General features: G+C 38.2%; 1 long non-coding RNA gene across 3 annotated transcripts in view, besides 1 other annotated feature; it reads left to right on the forward strand.

Moving 5' to 3' along the window:
- The first annotated feature begins 11,383 nt into the window (after positions 1-11,383).
- LOC105377547 (uncharacterized) overlaps positions 11,384-22,220 on the forward strand; it is a 43,658-nt gene continuing 32,821 nt past the window's right edge. For 2 of the 3 annotated variants that reach the window (XR_001741919.1, XR_939487.2), the window contains exon 1: positions 11,483-12,323. This is a non-coding gene — a long non-coding RNA (uncharacterized LOC105377547). Of the gene's footprint in view, positions 11,423-11,482; positions 12,324-22,220 lie in introns of those variants that run through there. The other variant, XR_001741920.1, reaches the window with a different exon arrangement.
- Positions 15,241-15,370: an enhancer, noted in NCBI's record as "active region_22164". NCBI's record gives its function as "activates an Ori minimal core promoter by ATAC-STARR-seq in GM12878 lymphoblastoid cells {active_cell/tissue: GM12878}" and the evidence as "EXISTENCE:reporter gene assay evidence [ECO:0000049][PMID:35858748]".

Here is a 22,220-nt window from a genome sequence, read left to right on the forward strand (position 1 = left end):
TATATAGTATGGAATCATACAATATGTCGCCTTTTCAGATTGGCTTTTTTTTTACTTAGTAATGTGCATCTGAATTTCTTCTATGTCTTTTCATGGCGTGGTAGTTTCTTTCTTTTTAACACCAAATAATATTCCATTATCTGGAGGTACAGCAGTTTATTTATCCATCATCTACTGAAGGACATCTTAATTGCCTCCAAGTTTTGGTAATTATGAATAAACCAGCTATAAACATCCATGCATAGGTTCTTGTGTGGATAAAAGTTTTTTATTTTTTGTGCTAAATACCAAGGAGCATGATTGCGGATTGTACAGTAACCACGTTTAGTTTTGTAAGAAACTATCAAACTGTCTTTGAAAGCATCTGTCCCATTTTGCATTCCCACCATCAATGAATGAGAGTTCCTATTACTTTATAAACTTTTCAGCATTTGGTGTTGTCAGTGTTCTGAATTTTGGCTATTCTAATAGGTGTGTATCTCATTGTTGTTTTCATTTGCATTTTTCTGATGACTTATGCTGTAAGGCATCTTTTCTTATGCTTATTTACCATCTATATGTCTTCTTTGGTAAGATGTCTGTTAAGGTCTTTGGCCCATTTTTACTGTTTGTTTTCATATCTTTGAATGTTAAGACTTCTTTGTATATTTTGGGTAACAGCCTTTTGTTAGGTATGTCTTCTGCAAATATTTTTTTCCAGTCTGTGGCTTATCTTTCATTTTCTTGGCAGTGGGCTTTAATAGAGCAGGCATTTTTAATTTTAATCAAATCCAGCTTATCAGTTCTTTCTTTCATGAATTGTGCCTTTGGGGTTGTAGATAAAAACTCATCACCAAACCCAAGATCAACTAGATTTTCTCCTATGTTGTCTTCTAGGAACTTTATAATTTTGTGTTTTACATTTAGGTCTCTGATCTATTTTGAGTTTTTTGCAAAGAGTGAAAGGTTTATGTCTAGGTTCATTTTTTTGCACTTGCACGCCAGTTGGTCCAGAGCCATTGGTTAAAAAGAATGATACATATTTTAAAATTCCTTTTCTTTTCTTTTTTTTTTTTTTTTTGAGATGGAGTCTCACTCTGTTGCCCAGGCTGGAGGGAAATGGCACAATCTCAGCTCACTGCAACCTCTGCCTCCAGAGTTCAAGCAATTCTCCTGCCTCAGCCTCCTGAGTAGCTGGGATTACAGGAACTCGCCACTACGCTCAGCTAATTTTTTGTATTTTTAGTAGAGACAGGGTTTCACCATGTTGGCCAGGATGGCCTTGAACTCCTGACCTTGTGACCTGCCCGTCTTGGCCTCCCAAAGTGCTGGGATTATAGGCATGAGCCACCACGCCCAGCCTTTGTGCCAGTTTTCAAAGGGAATGCTTCCAGCTTTTGCCCATTCAGTATGATATTGGCTATGGGTTTGTCATAAATAGCTCTTATTATTTTGAGATATGTTCGATCAATACCTAGTTTATTGAGTGTTTTTAGCATGAAAGGGTGTTGAAGGCCTTTTCTACATCTACTGAGAGACTTATGTGGTTTTTGTCATTGGTTCTGTTTATGTGATGGCTTACGTTTATTCATTTGTGTATGTTGAACCAGCCTTGCATCCCAGGGATGAAGCCAACTTGATCATGGTGGATAAGCTTTTTGATGTAATGCTGGATTCAGTTTGCCAGTATTTTATTGAGCATTTTCGCATTGATGTTCATCAGGGATATTGGCCTAAAACTTTCTTTTTGTTGTTGTTGTGTCTCTGCCAGGTTTTGGTATCAGGATGATGCTGGAGTCATAAAATAAGTTAGGGAGGAGTCCCTCTTTGTTTCTATTGTTTGGAATAGTTTCAGAAGGAGTGGTACCAGCTCCTCTTTGAATTTGGCTGTGAATCTGTCTAGACATGGGCTTTTTTTGGTTGGTAGGCTATTAATTACTGGCTCAATTTCAGAACTTGTTGCTGGTGTATTCAGGGATTTGACTTCTTCCTTGTTTAGTCTTGGGAGGTTGGGATGGTGTTTATGTGTCCAGGAATTTACCATTTCTTCTAGATTTTCTAGTTTTTTTGTGTAGAGGTGTTTAAAGTATTCTCTGATGGTAGTTTGTATTTCTGTGGAATCAGTGGTGATATCCCCTTTATCATTTCTATTGTGTCTATTTGATTCTTCTCTCTTTTCTTCTTTATTAGTCTGGCTAGTGGTCTATTTTGTTAATCTTCTCAAAAAACCACTCCTGGATTCATTGATTTTTTTTGAAGGGTTTTTCATGTCTCTATCTCTGTCAGTTCTGCTCTGATCTTAGTTAGTTCTTTTCTTCTGCTAGCTTTTGAATTTGTTTGCTCTTGCTTCTCTAGTTATTTTAATTGTGATGTTAGGGTGTCAATTTTAGATCGTTCCTGCTTTCTCATATGGACATTTAGTGCTATAAATTCCCCCTAAACACTGCTTTAGCTGTGTCCCAGAGATTCTGGTATGTTGTGTCTTTGTTCTCATTGGTTTCATAGAACTTATTTATTTCTGCCTTAGTTTCATTATTTATCCAGTAGGCATTCAGGAGCAGGTTGTTCAGTTTCCATGTAGTTGTCTGGTTTTGAGTGAGTTTCTTAATCCTGAGTTCTAATTTGATTGCACTGTGGTCTGAGAGACAGTTATAATTTCTGTTCTTTTACATTTGCTGAGGAGTGTTTTACTTCCAATTATGTGGCCAATTTTAGAGTAAGTGTGATGTGCTGCTGAGAAGAATGTATATTCTGTTGATTTGGGGTGGAGAGTTCTATAGATGTCTGTAAGGTCCACTTGGTGCAGAGCTGAGTTCAAGTTCTGAATATCTTTGTTAATTTTCTGTCTCGTTGATCTGTCTAATAATGACAGTGGGGCATTAAAGTCTCCCACTGTTATTGTGTGGGAGTCTAAGTCTCTTTGTAGGTCTCTAAGAACTTGCTTTATAAACCTGGGTGCTCCTGTATTGGGTGCATACATACTTACGATAGTTAGCTTTTCTTGTTGCATTGATCCCTTTACCATTATGTAATGCCCTTCTTTGTCTTTTTTGATCTTTGTTGGTTTGAAGTCTGTTTTATCAGAGACTAGGATTGCAACCCCTCCTTTTTTTTTGCTTTCCATTTGCTTGGTAAATATTCCTCCATCCCTTTCTTTTAAGCCTATGTGTGTCTTTGCATGTGGCATGGGTCTCCTGAATACAGCACACCAATGGGTCTTGACTCTTTATCCAATTTGCCAGTCTGTGTCTTTTAACTGGGGCATTTAGCCCTTTTACATTTAAGGTTCATATTGTTATGTGTGAATTTGATCCTGTTATTTTGATGCTAGCTTGTTATTTTGCTCATTAGTTGATGCAGTTTCTCCATAGTGTTGTTTTTCTTTATATTTTGGTATGTGTTTTGGAGTGGCTGGTACCAGTTTTTCCTTTCCATATTTAGTGCTTCCTTCAGGAGCTCTTATAAGGCAGGCCTGGTGGTAACAAAAATCCCTCAGCATTTGCTTGTCTGTAAAGGGTTTTATTTCTCCTTCACTTATGAAGCTTAGTTGGGCTGAATATGAAATTCTGGGTTGAAAATTCTTTTCTTTAAAAATGTTGAATATTGGCCCCCACTCTCTTCTGGCTTGTAGGGTTTCTCCAGAGAGATCCGCTATTAGTCTGATGGGCTTCCCTTTGTGGGTAACCTGACCTTTCTCTATGGCTGCCCTTAACATTTGTTCCTTCATTTCAACCTTGGTGAATCTGATGATTATGTGTCTTGGGGTTCCTCTTCTTGAGGAGTATCTTAGTTGTGTTCTCTGTATTTCCGGAAATTGGATGTTGGCCTGTCTTACTAGGTTGGGGAAGTTCTCCTGGATAATATCCTGAAGTGTGTTTTCCAACTTGGTTCCATTCTCCTCATCACTTTCAGGTACACCAATCAATCGTAGGTTTGGTCTTTTCATATAGTCCAATATTTCTTGGAGGCTTTGTTCCTTCCTTTCATTCTTTTTTTCTCTAATCTTGTCTTCATGCTTTATTTTATTAAGTTGATCTTCAATCCCTGATACCCTTTCTTCCACTTGATTGATTCGGCTATTGATACTTGTGTATGCTTCATGAAGTTCACGTGCTGTGTTTTTCAGCTCCATCAGGTCATTTATGTTCTTCTCTAAACTAAGTGTTCCAGTTAGCAGTTCCTGTAACCTTTTATTAAGGTTCTTAGCTTCCTTGCATTAGGTTAGAACATGTTCCTTTAGCTCGGAGGAGTTTGTTATTACCCACCTTCTGAAGCCTACTTCTGTCAATTTGTCAAACTCATTCTCCATTCAGTTTTGTTCCCTTGCTGGTGAGGAGTTGTGATCCTCTGGAGGAGAAGAGGCATTCTGTTTTTTTGAATTTTCAGCATTTTTGCGCTGCTTTTTCCTTGTCTTCTTGGATTTACCTATTTTTGATCTTTGATGCTGATGACCTTTGGATGCGGTTTTTGCATGGGCATCCTTTTTGTTGATGTTGATGTTATTGCTTTCTGTTTGTTAGTTTTCCTTCTATAGTCAGGCCCCTCTTCTGTAGGTCTGCTGGAGTTTGCTGAAGGTCCACTACAGACCCTGTTTGCCTGGGTATCACCAGTAGAGGCTGCAGAATGCAAAGATTGCTGGCTGCTCCTTCCTCTGGAGGTTTCATCCCAGAGGGGCACCTGCCAGATGCCAGCTGGAGCTCTCCTGTATGAGGTATCTGTTGACCCCTGCTGGGAGGAGGTGTCTCCCAGTGAGGAGGCACGAGGGTCAGGGACCCACTTGAGAAGGCAGTCTGTCCCTTAGCAGAGCTCAGGCACTGTGCTGGGAGATCCGCTGCTGTCTTCAGAGCTGGCAGGCAGGAACATTTAAGTCTGCTGAAGCTGTGCACACAGCTGCCCCTTATCCCAGGTGCTCTGTCCCAGGGAGATGGGAGTTTTATCTATCAGCCCCTGACTGGGGATGCTGCCTTTCTTTCAGACATGCCCTGCCCAGAGGGGAGGAATCTAGAGAGCCAGCTGACATATTTTTTATCCTCATGCCTACTTATGATCTTGCTTGATTGGTGATATCTAATTTTGAGAATTTTGAAAAAAAAAAATTGAATATTTCTTTTACACGTGCATTTGCCTTGAAACATGATAAAAGTCCCACTTATCCTCAAACAGAAACCACCAATTTCTTTTGATCCAACCATTATATCAAGTTCCTGTGTCCTTCCTATTCCTTATCACATTTCTTAAGAGGTCAGTCACACTTGATGTGTCTACTTTCTTAAATCCCATGCAATCTCCAACTGATTACAGTTTATTTTCTCCCATTGAAGGAAACTCTTTTAATTAGGAAGACAATGACCTCTTGCAGCCCAAATCCAACATGTTTTAATTATGCATCCTATTTAACCTCTGGTTAGTATTTGACACTATGCCACACCTGTGTGTCAAGAAGATTTGTTTTTTTTAAAAGAGTTCAGCATTGTACACAAATGTTTTTAAAGCTCTATATAAGGAAATATTGCTAGAACCGGAAGTCGTACAACTCCTCCTTCTTGAGAACTGCTCCAATGTGTTATACTCTACACATCAATTAATGCCCTTTGTATGGTACTGTGTCATTTCTCACTTCTTTCTTTTTCTCAACTCTCAAATACAGGAGGATGCCAAATCCCATAGCTTCGACCTGAGAAATAGTTCTTAGCTATTCTTCTTCTTCCCAGAAGTGATTGTGATGGGAAGCCCTCATTTTTCTCTCAATTAGAAAATATAATAGTCCCTAATCGATTTTCCTGTTACTAGTGTCCCATACTCTAGTCATATCTCACACTGTAAACCAAAGCCAATGATATGGATATCTCTCCCATGAAGTTCTCTATCATTTCTCTATTGTTTCCAAGATGAAGCTCCAGCACCCTATTTCAGGATCTCACAGGGTGGTCCCTGGATCAGGAGAATCAACATTTCCTGAGAACTTGTTAGCATAACAAAACCTTTGATCCCATCTCAGAGCTATTGAAGCCCAAACACTTTAGTCCAGGTGATTCTGATTCACAATAAAGTTGGAGAACCACTGCCCCAGCTGGCTAGTAGAGGAAACTGTTTGTTCAGGCTGCTACCAGACTTCGCTGCCTCTCCTGCATTTGTATTTCTCTTGCACTTTATGTTATTTTCTTATTGACTATCTCATCTGGTAAATGCCAGACATTAGGACCAACCTTCCAGACTGGAATACCACACCTGAATTTTTTTTTCCTGGCAAATTGCTATTATTACTTCACTATCCATTTCAAATGCTGTGAGAATTCCAGCCTCCTTCAAGATCCATTCTTGCTCCATCCGTCCTCCATTGGTATTTTGCTCACATCTCTGTAACAGCATTTACCATGTCATATCTTAATTTATCTTTCTAAAGATCATATTTTCCTCCTAAAACTGTGAATTCCTCACATATAGACTAGATCTTGTTCAACATCGTTCCCCTAGTGGCCTAGCTTGCTGTTTTCTGTTTTTCTCTTCTTTTTTTTGCCACCTCTTTACACAAAAGATTTGAGAGTAGGAAAATATTTTTGAAGTGAAATATTTCAACTCAACACCATAATGGTAATCAAGAAGCTTGGCAACTATTACAACTGTGTAGGGGCCTTTTTGCATATCAAAGCAACCAGTCTCCTATTTTCTTTTGTCTATCTGTGTACATAAAATGACAGTAATTAATTGAGACAGACTGATTCCTCTCACACACTTCCCATATGTTCTTTCTAGTCTACTTTATCCATGTGTCCCGATAGGCCTCTTTTATACAACTTCCTTTGTGACCCCCAGATTCTGACAACAAGGATCTAATGTTTCCCAGGTGATTTCTCTCTATTGTTCAAAAATCCTATTGCCTTAGGTGCAGTTCTTTCAATTCCCTCTCCTGATTTTTTAAAAATCTGATTGCCATTTGTGATGAAGGAACACTGTGTGGTGAAGAGATGAAGGAACCTCAGGGTTTGGGCTCTGTTTGATGGCCTCTTTCATTAAAATGCAGCCCTCTCCCCTTGCTCATATTTAATTCAATAAGATGGATGTAAAACAGGCAATTTTACTCCAGGTGTGAAAATACATTAGTTTCGAAAAAACAGGAGCTGATATTTCAGATCAGTTTGGGGTAGCTTTGCTATTACTATGGACTTGTTACAGGTGTCTTCATGTTTCCATAGCTTGATGTTAAACTGCTTAGTAAATAACTATACCAAAGCACCAAATTAAATTCATTAGCTTAAAAGCTTAATGCAGTTTCAACTGGTAATTGTACATTTACAGAGAAAATCATATGCCTTGTTTTAGAGAAATGAAATTAGAGTTAAGCCAAAATAGATTATTTTAATTACCAACTAAACAGGTTAGAACACTTTTTGAATAAAATCTAGCAAAACAAAATCAGTCAATAATTTTTAAATGATCTCTTAATTTCATCAGAGTATTACATATTCCTTGATGACTTCCATAGATTTATTTTATGATATGCAGAAAACTACATCTGCAGAACCAGAAGCAGAGTGACTTCTTAATGTGATTTTCATTGTCATTGATGGGACAGATTTTTGACAAATCTCATTGTTAGCTCTGAACAGTTAGAGCAGTTTATTTTCCAGCAGCAAGTAATTCCAACTTGATACAATGGTTAACATGAACATCTAGTTCATGAGCTAAATCTAAACCCTTAACTGTTAAATTTACTTCACGTAAGGAAAACTTAGGGTCGACCTGCAGCAATTTCTTACGGTAAAGAAAGGGAACTATTGCAATACTTTGAACTCCAGGTAAGTGAGAGACATAAAATTGATGTCTCTCTGATGTTCCACTTCAAGATAATAATAGATCTATTCTTAAAGAATCGTGTAAAGCTTAACTTTTTGAGCCATAGTATCTGTGAAAAGGATACATTTGGAGACCAGTTGTTCGAGGTGCTGATGTGCTGCCCATATGTCTCAATCTGCTGTAATGGGCAACTGAGGCCATATAAATACAACACTTTTTTTCCCCTGCAGGCTCTGTGTAATCCTTTCTGTGTCAAAGGCAGACAGGACATCATCCTAAAACTGGTCTCTGCACTTGAACTTTTTAGCCTCTGCCAATGGCCAGAGTTGTTAATTAGCTATCATAAATTGCCTTCTCTGAGCATTTCCAAATGTTTGCCCCTAGTTTTGCCTATTATGATTGTGTATCTATTAGGAATATTCCAAGGCAGGAGAATAATCAGTCTTTCTGTACCTTAAAATATAGATGTAGGGATTAGGCAGACTGCGGGAAGGGAAGAGTAGCACTTTGCCTTCTACCAGGAGAAGCCCTGAGGAGAATTTATCCTTGTATCACGATTATCTTTTCCAGCATTGAAAAGAGGTATTCAAATTCAGTGATAACTAAATCAACATCAGGCTCCTACTACGGTTTTTTCCTTCTTACTAGTCTTCTGAGAGGGGTGCTCTCCCTAAGCACCCTGGAGAGTGCTGTCTGCACCCTTAGAGAAAGGCAACGATGCTTGGAGAGTGTGTTTTGCCATGTGCTGCGAGGTGTGTGTGTGAAAATTCTAATTGACAGCTTTTGTATTTTCATCAACCATACTGCATCCCTTGTAATTTAGCCCAGAAAACTAGGTGGAGGATAAGAAGCCTAATTGTGATCTTGCATGGGGCATCTGAATGTCCAGGATATTGTTAGTTGCCCTGAAGAATGCTGGAGAATGTTCAGGTCCCCTCTGAAGGAACTTAATAACCTCAATCTCTCCATGAGGGAGACTTATTGGCAAGTGTTCCCTGATGAGAAACCTGGAGTTAAAATTAAGAAACCTGGCTGCAATTAAAAATTATAAATTTTTAATTGAAATTAAGTGAAAGTGACCAGAAAAAAGAACCAGATATTGTTTATGTGTGCGTGCGTGTGTGTGTGTGTGCGTGTGTGTGTGAGTGTGCGTGTGTTTTAGGAAGGAAGTTACTTAAAGAAGTATTTCTTTCTGTCCTGCAGAGCTAAAGATTTTTGGTTGCTTCTGATTGACTTGGATGGATTCTTAATGCTATTTCAGGCTGGTGATGCTGGTGGCTAAAATTGATGAAGAAGTGTTTGTTTAACACCTACAGCCAATTGTGGCTTTTATTTATTCATTCACGTATTTATTAATCATCACCTGTGTTCCACACACTCAGGCTGGCACCTGGATACTCTTTCAAGAAAAGCTAAGCATTATTTTTGTAATTATTGTGTAATGAGCTAGGCAGCTCACTTTACTTCTCTGGGCTACATGTCAAGAAAACAATTGTTAAAATAAGTTCCTCTAATCAAGCCAACACAGCTGGCTTTTGTGGCTGTGGGAGCATTGCCAGAATATCAGAGAAAAGTTGTTACAGGTTGAGAATCCCTAATCCAAAGATCTGAAATCTGAAATGTTTCAAAATGGAAACTTTTTGAGTGCCAACAAAATTATTTAAAATATTGTATAAAACTACCTTCAGTCTATGTGTATATGGTGTATATGAAACATAAATGAATTTTATGTTTAGAATTGGGTCTCCTCCCCAAGAAATCTCACGATGTATATGAAAGTATTCCAAAATCCAAAAAAATCTGAAATCCGAAACACTTCTGGCTGTAAGTGCTTCAGATAAGGGATATTCAACCTGTACAAAAAATGAGGGTTCACATTACTTGGTGATAAGTTGATAAAACTTAATGAAACACGGATTGCCAGACAGAAATCCTTCATCTAGAGCAAGATGTTAATTACCATGGTTGAAGATCAATTCTTTCTAATTTATTTAACAAACTACTTTGACTGAATATTAGAATACAAATTATAGAGGAAAACCAAGATATCTCCTTCAGTAATTTCATTGTAACAGAATTGGTACTTATTCATCCATTATTCCACAAATGTATTTGAATGACCAATTAATAGTGCTAGAAGCTTGCAGTATAGGAGAGGAAGATGTAAGTGCACTGCAATATCTAAATTCTGAAAAAAAGAAGCTTTAAAGCTACAGTGCCAGGGAGGCAGGGAGCAGGGTGCAAAAAAAGTCGTAATAAAAGCCAAAGAATAACTCACTAGCAGTAAGATAATAGTCTCAGCATCCTCTTAAACACTATGTCTCCTTCCTTTCTTTTTTCCCAGACAGAAAGAAAAGAGACAGGTTTATAGCTGTTACCTTAAACCTGTATTTTTTTTTCTTCTTCCTTTTTAACTAAGTGGCTTTACTTGACTAAACTCTTAGATAGGTAGAAGGAGAGGCCTCTAGGCTCCAGAAAGAAGAATCAAAGTAAACAGCTTTGGGAAAAAGAGCTCCTGGGGAAACCTAAAACAACATAAGGGGTAAATGGAGTTTTCTGGATTTAAGTCTGTAAAACTACATTTCACAGCATTTTGCTAAAGCTTAATTCTGAGTGATGATGCACCCAAATAATTTGCTCAAATGTTTATTCATCTCGTTTTAATCCTGGTTCCTGATAGTTTAAAGAGATTATTAAGCAAAGTATATGGGAGGCGATTTCATTGTTTAGACCGAGCTCCTACACTGGGCTCCAGCAGACAGTGAAGTCACTCATGCTAGGTGTCATGCACAATTACACTAAACTTTGAAACAGGCAAGGTTTCCAGAAATGAGAAGATTCACAGCAACTAAGCAGAAGGGGCTCATTTTACCTGAGCCAGCATGATAGGGAAGCCCCTTCTGTGTTAACCCTATAAGTAAAGTAACTTTGAAATGACCAATCTGCTTTTGTTCCTTGTTTCTGCTTTCTTCAGCCCTTTTCTGCCTATAAAGCCAAACTATAAACCAGAGCACGCCTTCTGTTTTATAGAATGAGATATTGCCCAGTTCTAGAATCACTAATAACAGCTAATTACATCTTAAAACCAAACTTGTTGTAATTTTATTTTTTAACAATATCAGTAAAGGTGCCTTTATTCTAAGAGCTATATGAGGTGGTTTGATCATATTATTCACAGAATTATAAAGTTAGCATAAGAAAATTATGAAATTAAACCCCAAATTGTTTGTTGAATATGGTGACTGGTTATTAATCTTGAAGATAGGAAATAAGATGTTCCTTGATTAGTGTTGGTCCTGAAAGAACTTATTGTCTTATTAAGAAGAAAAGACTCAAGAAAAGTAATCCAAAACAGAATATAGTCAAGTTTCAACTGTATGTATTATAGATGTTCAGAGAATTGTGTTGTGTTGATTTTTGTTAGCATAGAAGGCATTGTAAAATGTGTGTGACTAGGAGCCAATTAGAACTGAGTGTGTGTGTGTGTGTGTGTGTGTGTGTGTGTTTGAGACAGTCTCGCTCTGTCGCCCAGGCTGGAGTGCAATGGCGCGATCTTGACTCACTGCAACCTCCGCCTCCTGGTTCAAGTGATTCTTCTGCCTCAGCCTCCCGAGTAGCTGGGACTACAGGTGCCCACCACCACGCCCAGGTAATTTTTGTATTTTCAGTAGAGATGGGGTTTCACCAGGTTGGCCAGGCTGGTCTCAAACTCCTGATCTCACGTGATCCACCTGCCTCGGCCTCCCAAAGAGTGTTTTTACAGGCTCCATTCCTTATTCCTGGAGTCATCTTAGGGAAATTTTCTGACATTTTATTGCCTTAGAACTCTCATCTGTAAAGTAGAGAGAAAGATGCCTCACTTGCTTGCTGAGGACTAATGAGATACAATTTTGAGAATTCATTTTTTTCATCCCAATGATTTTCACCAACCATGATCATGCTAAATTTGTCTCACTCAAAACCAGGCATAATGTAATGCTGTTAAGAACATATTATTCTAATATTCGGTCCAGAATTCCTCTCTGTGAACCGTTTCTGTTTAGAATCTGTGTTCATAAATGCTGGGAGTGTGTCAGCTGGTGACTTCAGAGGAAAGGGGAACCACTACACATGAGGTAAAAGGAGGAATGTGTTGTTTTGCTACTGAGAAGGACTGGGGAGGGGAGTGGAATAAAAGGTGGGAGCAGAGAAGAGACAGGCCAGCAAAATCAAAAAGCAGGTGCTGCAGAGAAAGAGCCAGGAGAGAAACTTCTGGTGGTGAGTGATAAAAATGGACTTGGGGGACAGGACAATATAATAAGTGATGAGCTTTTGCCCCCCGTCTCTCCAGTCATCAGGAAAGTCTATTGTGCTTATAAATGCTTTGTTTCAATTTTCAGCAAACACAGTAAAGGAGCTGTTTTATATCTGGTAGCACCTCATGTTGACCCCAATATAAACGAGAAACAAGAGCCCAAGAAGCAGAGGAAGTTAGGAGATAGTAAGCTGTCCAGAAATTAGCCAACGACTGTGGAATGGCTCTAGACTTCTGTAGCAAATGGAAATATGAGGTTAGTTCCAGGTTTATGTAAATCACCAAGGGTTAGATGAACTCCCATATGGCATATTACACCAATTTGTAAGGACATCAGAAAATAGTTCATATTGTTTCAAAGTTGGCTCCATAAGCGGGCAATTGTTTTTAATATATATCAGGGCTTAGAACATGATATCCCAAAATATGGCACCTTGGCATAAGCAGAAAGCTCACTCTCTGACTTTCTCCAACCTTCTCTCCCAGGCCATAAAAATCATTCTCTCTCCCTCCATGTGGAGAATGAAGACTTTTTGGGACACCTTAAATCCAGAGAAAAGGAAAGAAGATACATACAGCCAGAGCAGAATCTGAACAAACAGGCCTTGCTTAGTTCCCCCCAGTTTATTGATCATATCCTTTTTGATCAATCAGGCTTCTTCTTTCTTGCTTTCTTTTTTTTTTTTTGAGGCGGAGTCTCACTCTGTTGCCCAGGCTGGAGTGTGCAGCGGCATGACCTCGGCTCACCTCAAGCTCCGCCTCCTGGGTTCAAGCAATTCTCCTGCCTCAGCCTCCCGAGTAGCTGGGATTACAGGTGCCCGCCAGCACGCCCAGCTAATTTTTGTATTTTTGGTAGAGACGAGGTTTGACCATGTTGGCCAGGCTGGACAATCAGACTTCTATGTGACTGTCCATTCTTTAGCAAACCTAGGCATAAAAATACACAGCTTTTCCTAAGTCTTCAGGTCATTTCTGAAGTTTCCCGTGTCACACAAAATTTTGGTTAAAAAATTTTGTTATGCCTTTCTCGTTAATCTGTCTTTTGTTATAGGTGTCATTCACCAATTGTCAACTTCGCAATTGGTATGAAAAAGATACTACTTTTTCTCTCCTGCACATCTAATGAAATTCTTTAGTTGAAATCCTTAGGTGTAAACCAATAATATCCCCAATCTTTGTTTTGTACTAACAGTCTTGACTTTTTCTAAATCAAATACATCCCTGTGGATTATTACTCTCACCTGCATGGTCTTCAGAAAAGAAAAATAAAATTACTCTACTGGAGATCACAATGACACAATATTCTGTAAGTGGAGCTGCCTTATAAAACTATTTTTGTTCCATTCTTTCACAGCTATTTTTAAAGTTCTGTTTTTAGAATTCACAGTTCTGCTCTTTGGGACTTCAACTACAAAGTGAAGTATTGCCGGTTTTTTTTGTTTTTTTTTTTTTTTTTTGAGACGGAATCTTGCTCTGTCACCCAGGCTGGAGTGCAGTGGCATGATCTCGGCTTACTGCAAGCTCCACCTCCCGGGTTCACACCATTCTCCTGCCTCAGCCTCCCGAGTAGCTGGGACTACAGGCGCCTGCCACCATGCCCAGCTAATTTTTTATATTTTTAGTAGAGACGAGGTTTCACCATGTTAGCCAGGATGGTCTCGATCTCCTGACCTCATGATTTGCCTGCCTCGGCCTCCCAATGCCATTCTTAACATTTAATTTAAACTTGCGGCCAGGAGTTCAAGACCATCCTGGGCAACATAGTGAGATCCTATCTCTACAATTTTTTTTTAATTAGCTGTGCATGGTGACATGTGCCTGTAGTCCCAGCTACTTGTGAGGCTGAGGTGAAAGGATTGCTTGAGCCCAGACGTTCAAAGCTGCAGTGAGCTATGGTCACACCACTGCACTCCAGCCTAGGCAAGAGAGCAAGACCCGGTTGCAAAAAAAAAAATTCTTCCTGCATTCAATGACATCGCCTTTCATTTTGGCCATTTCCTCCCCTCCCCAGTTGTGACCTCCATACTGGGTTATGCTCCAGGTCCCTGATTCCTTTTCAGAAAGTCTCTGTAATTGGAATTGGAGGTGTGAGAGGAGTTCACAGTCACACAAAGCCTGCTGAAGTATGGTAAGCCTTACTCACACAGGCAACTTTTAACTGTGATGACATCTCAGTAAAATGTTATACAACTACGGTGTCATTTAAATATTCTGTGACATTTTCAGAGGAAACTTTCCAGTACATAAAATCATCTCGTGTTACCTGAGAGAATGACAACTCTGTTTTTAAAATTACTCTGAAATTCCTAGAAAATCAAACCAAACCGAAAACCTCACTATGTTTTTTATTTTACTGGTAAATAAATATTTTTTCTTGGTCATATTTAGGTTATGGTGAGAGTTAAGTAATATGTCTGAGAGTACATTATTTACCATAAATCTTTGTACAGACACTCCTATTTTATTAGCTATTTTCAAAATATCAGAAACTAATAATTCCCCTTCATTTCTACAGGGCAATAGTGATCCTAGACCAAATTCCTTCCTTTTTCTCTCCAAATTGGTTATGATACTGCTTCCTCAGGTTGGTCCACTATATTTAGGCGTGAAGGACAAGGAGAGACAAGCTGTCACTGGTCAAACAAAACAAAACAAAACAAAACAAAAAAAAACACAGATACAAGGGCTTTTCAGGTTAGTCCTAGAGAATTTCACAACATTCCAGGGTTTTCACTGCTTCTGTGAGTAAATTTTCTTTCCTGCTCCCATGCAGGAAATGGTTCAGCATCGTCAAGCCATTCAGGCCTTCGTTACTGCCATGTTTTGAATGTGCCCCCCCCTCAATTTCATGAGTGGGAAACCAAATTTCCTATGTGGCAGTATTGAGAGGTGGAACGTTTAAGAAGTGAGTGGTTCATGAGTGCTCTGCCCCCTGAGTGGATTAATCTACTCATGAGTTAATAAATTGATGGGTTAATGGATTAATGGGCAATCATGGGAGTGGAACTGGTGGCTTTCTAAGAGGAAGAGAGGCCTGAGCTAGCACGTTAGCATGCTCAGCCCCCTCACCATGTGATGGTCTGCACTGCCTCAGGTCTCTGCACAGTCCTCACCAGGAAGAAGGCTCTCACCAGACACTGAGCCATGCCCTTGGACTTCCAAGCCACCTGAATTGTAAGAAATTTCTTTTCTTTATAAGTTACCCAGTTTCAGGTGTTCTATTATAAGCAACAGAAAACAGACTAAGACAGCTATGTTATGAAGACTCATTTTTGAAAAAACATAGACATGATCCTTAAAATAAATACATATGTGTGTAGGTGTATGTGAGTTACACAATTCTAAGATTGCTTGTCTTCAAATTATACAACAAAATAATTAACATGAAAAAGAAGCACAGTATAATGTTATTATTTTTCAGAAAAAGCTGTTAGACTAGGATGGAGAAAGTGATGTCATGTAGTCAAGGGAAGTCTTTGATTTAAAGGGGGATCTATTTACTTATTGCACATATATAAACAGCTTTAAAGAATATTAAACCTACTAAGCTACTTATGGTTTTGCTCTGACAACTACTTCCTTTGGTTTTTGGTTTCAGTTGGCTTCTCTGAGTCATCTTGCTTCTCTGAACAAGTGAGGTATTTGCTGTCAGTGATGTGGGCTGAATCAATACAGTGTCACTGTTTATGCTTTAAATTGATGAGTTTTCAGAAGGTGGCAGTGGTATGAGAGCCAGTGATTCAGCTCACCCTAGGATTGTTAACAGAGGTTAATATAGTAGATAAACGGTGTGTTCTATTTTTCTTTCAAAATAATGATATGTTAAAAATATTATGAACATGGAAAAAGCTTTCAATAAAATCCAGCATCCCTTCATGAAGAAAACCCTCAACAAACTAGTCATCGAAGGAATATACCTCAAAATAATAAGAGCAATCTATGACAAATCCATAGCCAACATCATACTGAACAGGCAAAAACTGGAAGCATTCCCTTCAAACTGGAACAAGACAAGGATGTTCACTGTCACCATTCCTATTCAGCATAGTACTGGAAGTCCTAGTCAGAACAATCAAGCAAGAGAAAGAAACAAAGGACATCCAAATAGGAAAATAAGTCAAACTATATGACTTCATGGATATGATTCTATACCTAGAAAACCCTAAAGACTTCACCAAGAGGCTCCTGGAACTGATAAATGACTTCAGTAAAATTTCAGGATACAAAATAACTGTACAAAAATTAGTAGCATTTCTAAAAACCAATAACATTCAAGCTGAGCGCCAAATCAAGAACGCAATTCCATTTACAATAGCCAGCCATATACAAAAATTATGTAGGAATGTGTCTAACCAAGGAGGTGGAACATCTCTACAAGGAGAACCACGAAACTTTGCTAAAAGAAATTACGGATGACACAAACAAATGGAAAAACATTCCATTCCATGCTCATGGATACAAGAGTCAATGTTGTTGAAGTGACCATACTGCCCAAATTATGGTCATCAATCTATAGATTCTGTGCAATTCCCACCAATATCATTTTTCACAGAATTAGAAAAAAACAATCCTTAAATTCTTATGGAACCAAAATGGAGCCCAAATAGCCAAGGCAATCCTAAGCAAGAAGAATAAAACTGGAGGTATCACATTACCCAACTTCAAGCTATACTACAGAGCTGCAGTAACCAAAACAGCATGGTTCTGGTAAAAAAACAGACACATACACCAATGGAACAGAATAGGGAAGCCAGCAATAAAGTCACACAGCTGCAGCCATCTGATCTTCAACAAATTGGACAAAAATCAGCAATGGGGAAATGACTCCCCACCCAATAAGTGGTGCTAGGAAAGCTGGCTAGCCATAGGCAGAAGAATGAAACCGGACCCCTAGCTTTCACTATATATAAAAATTAACTTGGCTGGGTGCAGTGGCTCATGCTTGTAATCCCAACACTTTGGGAGGCTGAGGAGGGTGGATCACCTGAGGTCAAGAGTTTGAGACCAACCTGGCCAACAAGGTGAAACCCTGACTCTACTGAAAATACAGAAATTAGCTGGGCATGGTGACAGGTGCCTGTAATCCCATCTACTCGGGAGGCTGAGGCAGGAGAATCACTTGAACCTGGGAGGCGGAGGTTGCAGTGAGCCGAGATGGTGCCACTGCACTCCAGCCTGGGCAACAGAGTGAGCCTCTGTCTCAAAAAAAAAAAAAAAAAAAAAAAAAAAATTAACTCATGACAGATAAAAGATTTAAATGTAAGACCTCAAACTATGATAATCCAAGAAGAAAACATAGGGCGTTCTAGACATTTACCTTGGGAAAGAATTTATGACTAAGTCCTCAAAATCAATGGCAACAAAAACAAATTGGCATGTGGGACCTAATTAAACTAAAAAGCTTCTGCACATCAAAAGAAACTATCAACAGAGTAAGCAGACTACTTACAGAATGGGAGAAAATATTCACAAATGATGCATCCAACAAAAGTCCAATATCCAGCATCCAGAGGAAACTTAAACAACTGAACAAGCAAAAAACAACCCCATCAAAAAATGGGCGAAAGTCATGGACAGACACTTCTCAAAAGAAGATACAAGAGGCCAACTGATATATGAAAAAATGCTCCATATCATTAATCATCAGGAAATGCAAATCAAAACCGCAATAAGATACCATCTCACACCAGTCAGAATAACTATTATTAAAAATTCAAAAAAACAACAGATGCTGGTGAGCGTGTGGAAAAAAGGAACACATACTCTGTTGGTGGGAAAATAAACTAGTTTAGCTACTGTGGAAAGCAGTCTGGAGATGTTTCAAATAACTTAAAACAGAGTTACCATTTGACCCAGAAATCCCCTTACTGGATATATATCCAAAAGAAAACAAATTATTCTACCAAAAAGGCACATCATGCGCTCACCTGTTCATTGCAGCACTATTCACAATAAGAAAGATATGGAATCAACCTAGGTGTCCATCAACATTGGACTGAATAAAGAAAATGCAGTACATGTACACCATGCAATACTACACAGCTATGAAAAATAATGAAATCATGTCCTTTGCAGCAACATAGATGCAACTGGAGGCCATTATCTTAAGCAAATTAAGCAGGAACAGAGAACCAAATACCACGGCCTCACTCGTAAGTGGGAGCTAAACGTTGGGTACTCGTGGATGTAAAGATGGGAACAATAGAAACTGGAGACTACTGGAGGGAGCAGAGAGGGAGATACATAAGCATTGAAAAATTATTGGGTACTATACTCAGTATTTGGGTGACGGGATCATTCATACCCCAAACCTAAGCATCTTAGAATATAACTAGGTAACAAACTTGTATATATACCCCTGAATCTAAAATAAAAGTTGAAAAAAATACGAATTAGACTTATATTCATAATTGATAAGTAACCACCGTGCTTTAAGCTTCCATACAGAATTTTCTTTGCTGGTAATAGTTTCTTATATATGCTAATTAAGTTGGTAAAACTCTGCTATTCTTCCATAGAATATTTGCCTAATCTGTGTTTCTTTCTCTTAAAATATCAAATAAACTTAATTTTCATGGGTTTGCTAAATATTTTTGCTCTGTCTTTAAGAGTTAGGTCAACCGAGTTGTTGGTGTTGAAATTCTCCAGCATTCAAACTATGGTTGGTCATTATGGAGACTGAAACTGTTTAGTCTCATATGCCTCTGGTAGCAATAGTTTCTCTCCCATCTCTATTTTGCATGTTCTGATTTTGCTTGTAGACTATAAAATGCAATCTAGCATAAGGACTGCCTTTATTGCTTTTTAATCCTAGCATCTAACATAGCATGTTTTGCAGATGCTCCTCAATTTACAATGAGACTGTCACAATAAACCCATCATAAGTTGGAAATACTATAAGTCAGAATACATTTAATGTAGCTAACCTACTAGACATCATAGCTTAGCCTAGCCTACCTTAAACATGCTCAGAACATTTACATTAGCCTACAGTTGGGCAAAATCATCTAACACAAAGCCTGTTTTACAATAAAGTGTTGAATATCTCACGTAATTTATTGACTATATTACACTGTGTAGTATAGTACTGGTTTACCCTCATTATCACCTGGCTGACTCAGGGCTATGGCTCACTGCCATTGCTCAGCATCTAGAGAGTGTCATACTGCATATCACTAGCCTGGGAAAAGATCAAAAGTCAAAATTTCAACTCTGGTTTCTACTGAATGTGTATCGCTTTTGCACCACTGTAAAGTCAAAAAATCATAAGTTGAACCATCCTGTCTGGGACTGTCTGTATACATCTTTGAGCTCCACAAATATATGATATTAATAATGGTACAATATTGTAAGTAATATTTTAAATTTTAGAAGAGTAGTACTTACTAGAGGAGTATTTCCTGTGTAACTGAGCACTGTGATAAATCCACCTAATACTTTAGCTCACTTGTTCCTCATAACAATCCTATTTTACAGATGAGGAAATGCACTTAGACTAGGAAACTTGCCCAAGGCTTAGGATAAATATATTTCATCTTAAAAGATAGGTGTGATTCGAGCTGTCACTGGCATTATCAGACTTTTTATATCAGATTTTATTGATGATAGATGACATAAATTGGGTTCTTAATATGTTAAGCATTGTTCTGTTAATTAACTTATCTTCACAGCAACATAAAGAGGGAGGTAGATTATTACTTGTATTTTGGAGATGAAAAATGCCGACATTGAGGGGTTTAGTAGCCAGGCCTCAGAGGTCCTGTAGCTAGCTGCTAAAATACCTTGCCAGGATTTAAATCATGGAAGTCTCTTCAATGGTATGGCTCTCTGCTGATTTGTTATACAGCCGTTTATTTAAAATTAGGTTTTAACCCAGCACATGATATGAAGATTATTTAAGATTTCATTTCCCATTTTGAATAATTTTCTGTGTTTTACTAGCCAAAGACATTTAATGTTAGTTTTCATTTTGATAAAATTATCTCATCAATATTTTTACATTACTGTCATCAAAAGGCTGTTGTTGAGATTAATCATGCAATGTGTTTAACTAGAAGATGAAATAAAAGTCACATGTTACACACAAACACACTCAACTGATTTTTAACAAAGGTACAGAAACAATTCCAGGGAGGAAGGATTTTCTTTTCAACAAATGGTGCTGGAGCAATTGGACATTCTAAAAAATGCACCTTGACTAAAACCTCATACTTTATTGAAAAATTAACTTAAAATAGATCATAGGCTTAATGATAAAATATAAGAATATAAAACATTTAGAAAAAAATCAAATAGAGAATATCTTCAGGACTTAGAGCTAGGCAAAGAGTTCTTATTGATTACACCCAAAACATGATATGTAGAAAAAGTTTTTTTATAAATTGGACCTTGTATTAGTCCATTTTCACACTGCTAATAAAGGCATACCTGAGACTGGGCAATTTACAAAAGAAAGAGAGGTTTAATGGACTTACAGTTCCACGTGGCTGGGGAGGCCTCACAATCATGGTGGAAGGCAAGGAGGAGCAAGTCACATCTTACATGGATGGCAACAGGCAAAGAAAAAGCTTGTGTAGGTGAACACCTCCTCATAGAACCATCAGAGATCTCATGAGACTTACTCACTCTCATGAGAACAGCATGGGAAAGACTCACCCTCATGATTCAATTATCTCCCACCAGGCCCCTCACACAACACATGGGAATTCAAGATGAGATTTGGGTGGAGACACAGCCAAACCATATCAGACCTCATCAAAATAAAGTGTTTGCTCTGTGAAAAACCCTGTTAAGAGAATGAAAAGGCAAGCTACACAGTGAGAGACAATATTTTTAAAGACCATATAGGACAAAGGGATTGTATATAGAATATATAAAGAATTCTTGAAAGTCAACAGTTTTAAAAATACAAAATGATCAAAAGACAGACACGTTTCCAAAGAGGAGTGGATGGCAAATAAGCACAGGAAAAGTGTTCAGAGTCATTTGTCATCAGGAAAATGCACATTCACACTACAGTGAGATACCACTGTAAACCTATCAGGATGGCTAACATTAAAAATAGTGGGCCGGGCATGGTGGCTCTTGCCTGCAATCCTGGCACTTTGGGAGGCCAAGGCAGGTGGATCATCAGGTCAGGAGTTCAAGACCAGCCTGGCCAGCATGGTGAAACCCTGTCTCTACTAAAAATGCAAAAATTAGCTCAGTGCAGTGGCACATGCCAGTAGTCCCAGCTACTTGGGAGGCTGAGGCAGAAGAATTGCTTGAATCCGGGAGACAGAGGTTGCAGTGAGCCGAGATCACATGCAACGGCAATCCAGCCTGGGCAACAGAGCAAAACTCCGTCTCAAAAAAAAAAAAAAAAAATTAGTGATAACACCAAATGCTGATGAGAATGCCGAGAAACTGAATATCTTTTACTTTGTGTGAATCAAAAATGACAGAACCACTCGGGAAGTAACTTGGCAGTTTTTAAATAGAAATATATGTACCATTTTTGTAACTTCATATTAATCTATAATTATTTCAAACAAAAAGTTAAATTACCTGTCAAAGTAAGATGAGAATGAGTTGTTATTGTATTCATCATTTTGTTGCAATGTTTAAAATAACATCATTGATAATGTACTCATAGTAGATATGTGTGGCTATTTTTTAAAAGTTTTTGTCTCAAGTTGCTTCATATTAAAATGTCTGAAACATTCTAGCATTTCAAGAATAAAAATTTCCTTTAAAATGTTAGTCATGACCTGGCAAAATTTTTTTTTTAATTCTGAACAACCACTGGGTGGCAGTAAAGGCTTGGGTTTTTGTTCATTTGCCTGGTGTTTTGTTTTTTTTTTTTTTTTTTTTTTTTGGAAAGTTGAGAAAATAAGGAACTAATTTGGTTCTGCTCTTAGCAAATAAAAAAATCTGTAGTGATAGATATTATTGCTGATTGGCAAGGTTTAAGCTGCAAATCCAATCATTAAGAAATAATATTTGTATAAGTTAAAGCAATAAATAACACACACTCTAAGGGATCATATGCAGAGTAAAACCTTATAAAAATAAACCTTGGGCTAACAGTCTGAGACGAGATGGACAATTCTAGAAAAAAAAGGAGTTTGGCATTGCGTGTTGTAATGGCATGTGGGATTTTCTGGTTCAAAAT

Source organism: Homo sapiens, chromosome 4, assembly GCF_000001405.40.
Source record: "Homo sapiens chromosome 4, GRCh38.p14 Primary Assembly".
Taxonomy (NCBI): domain Eukaryota; kingdom Metazoa; phylum Chordata; class Mammalia; order Primates; family Hominidae; genus Homo; species Homo sapiens.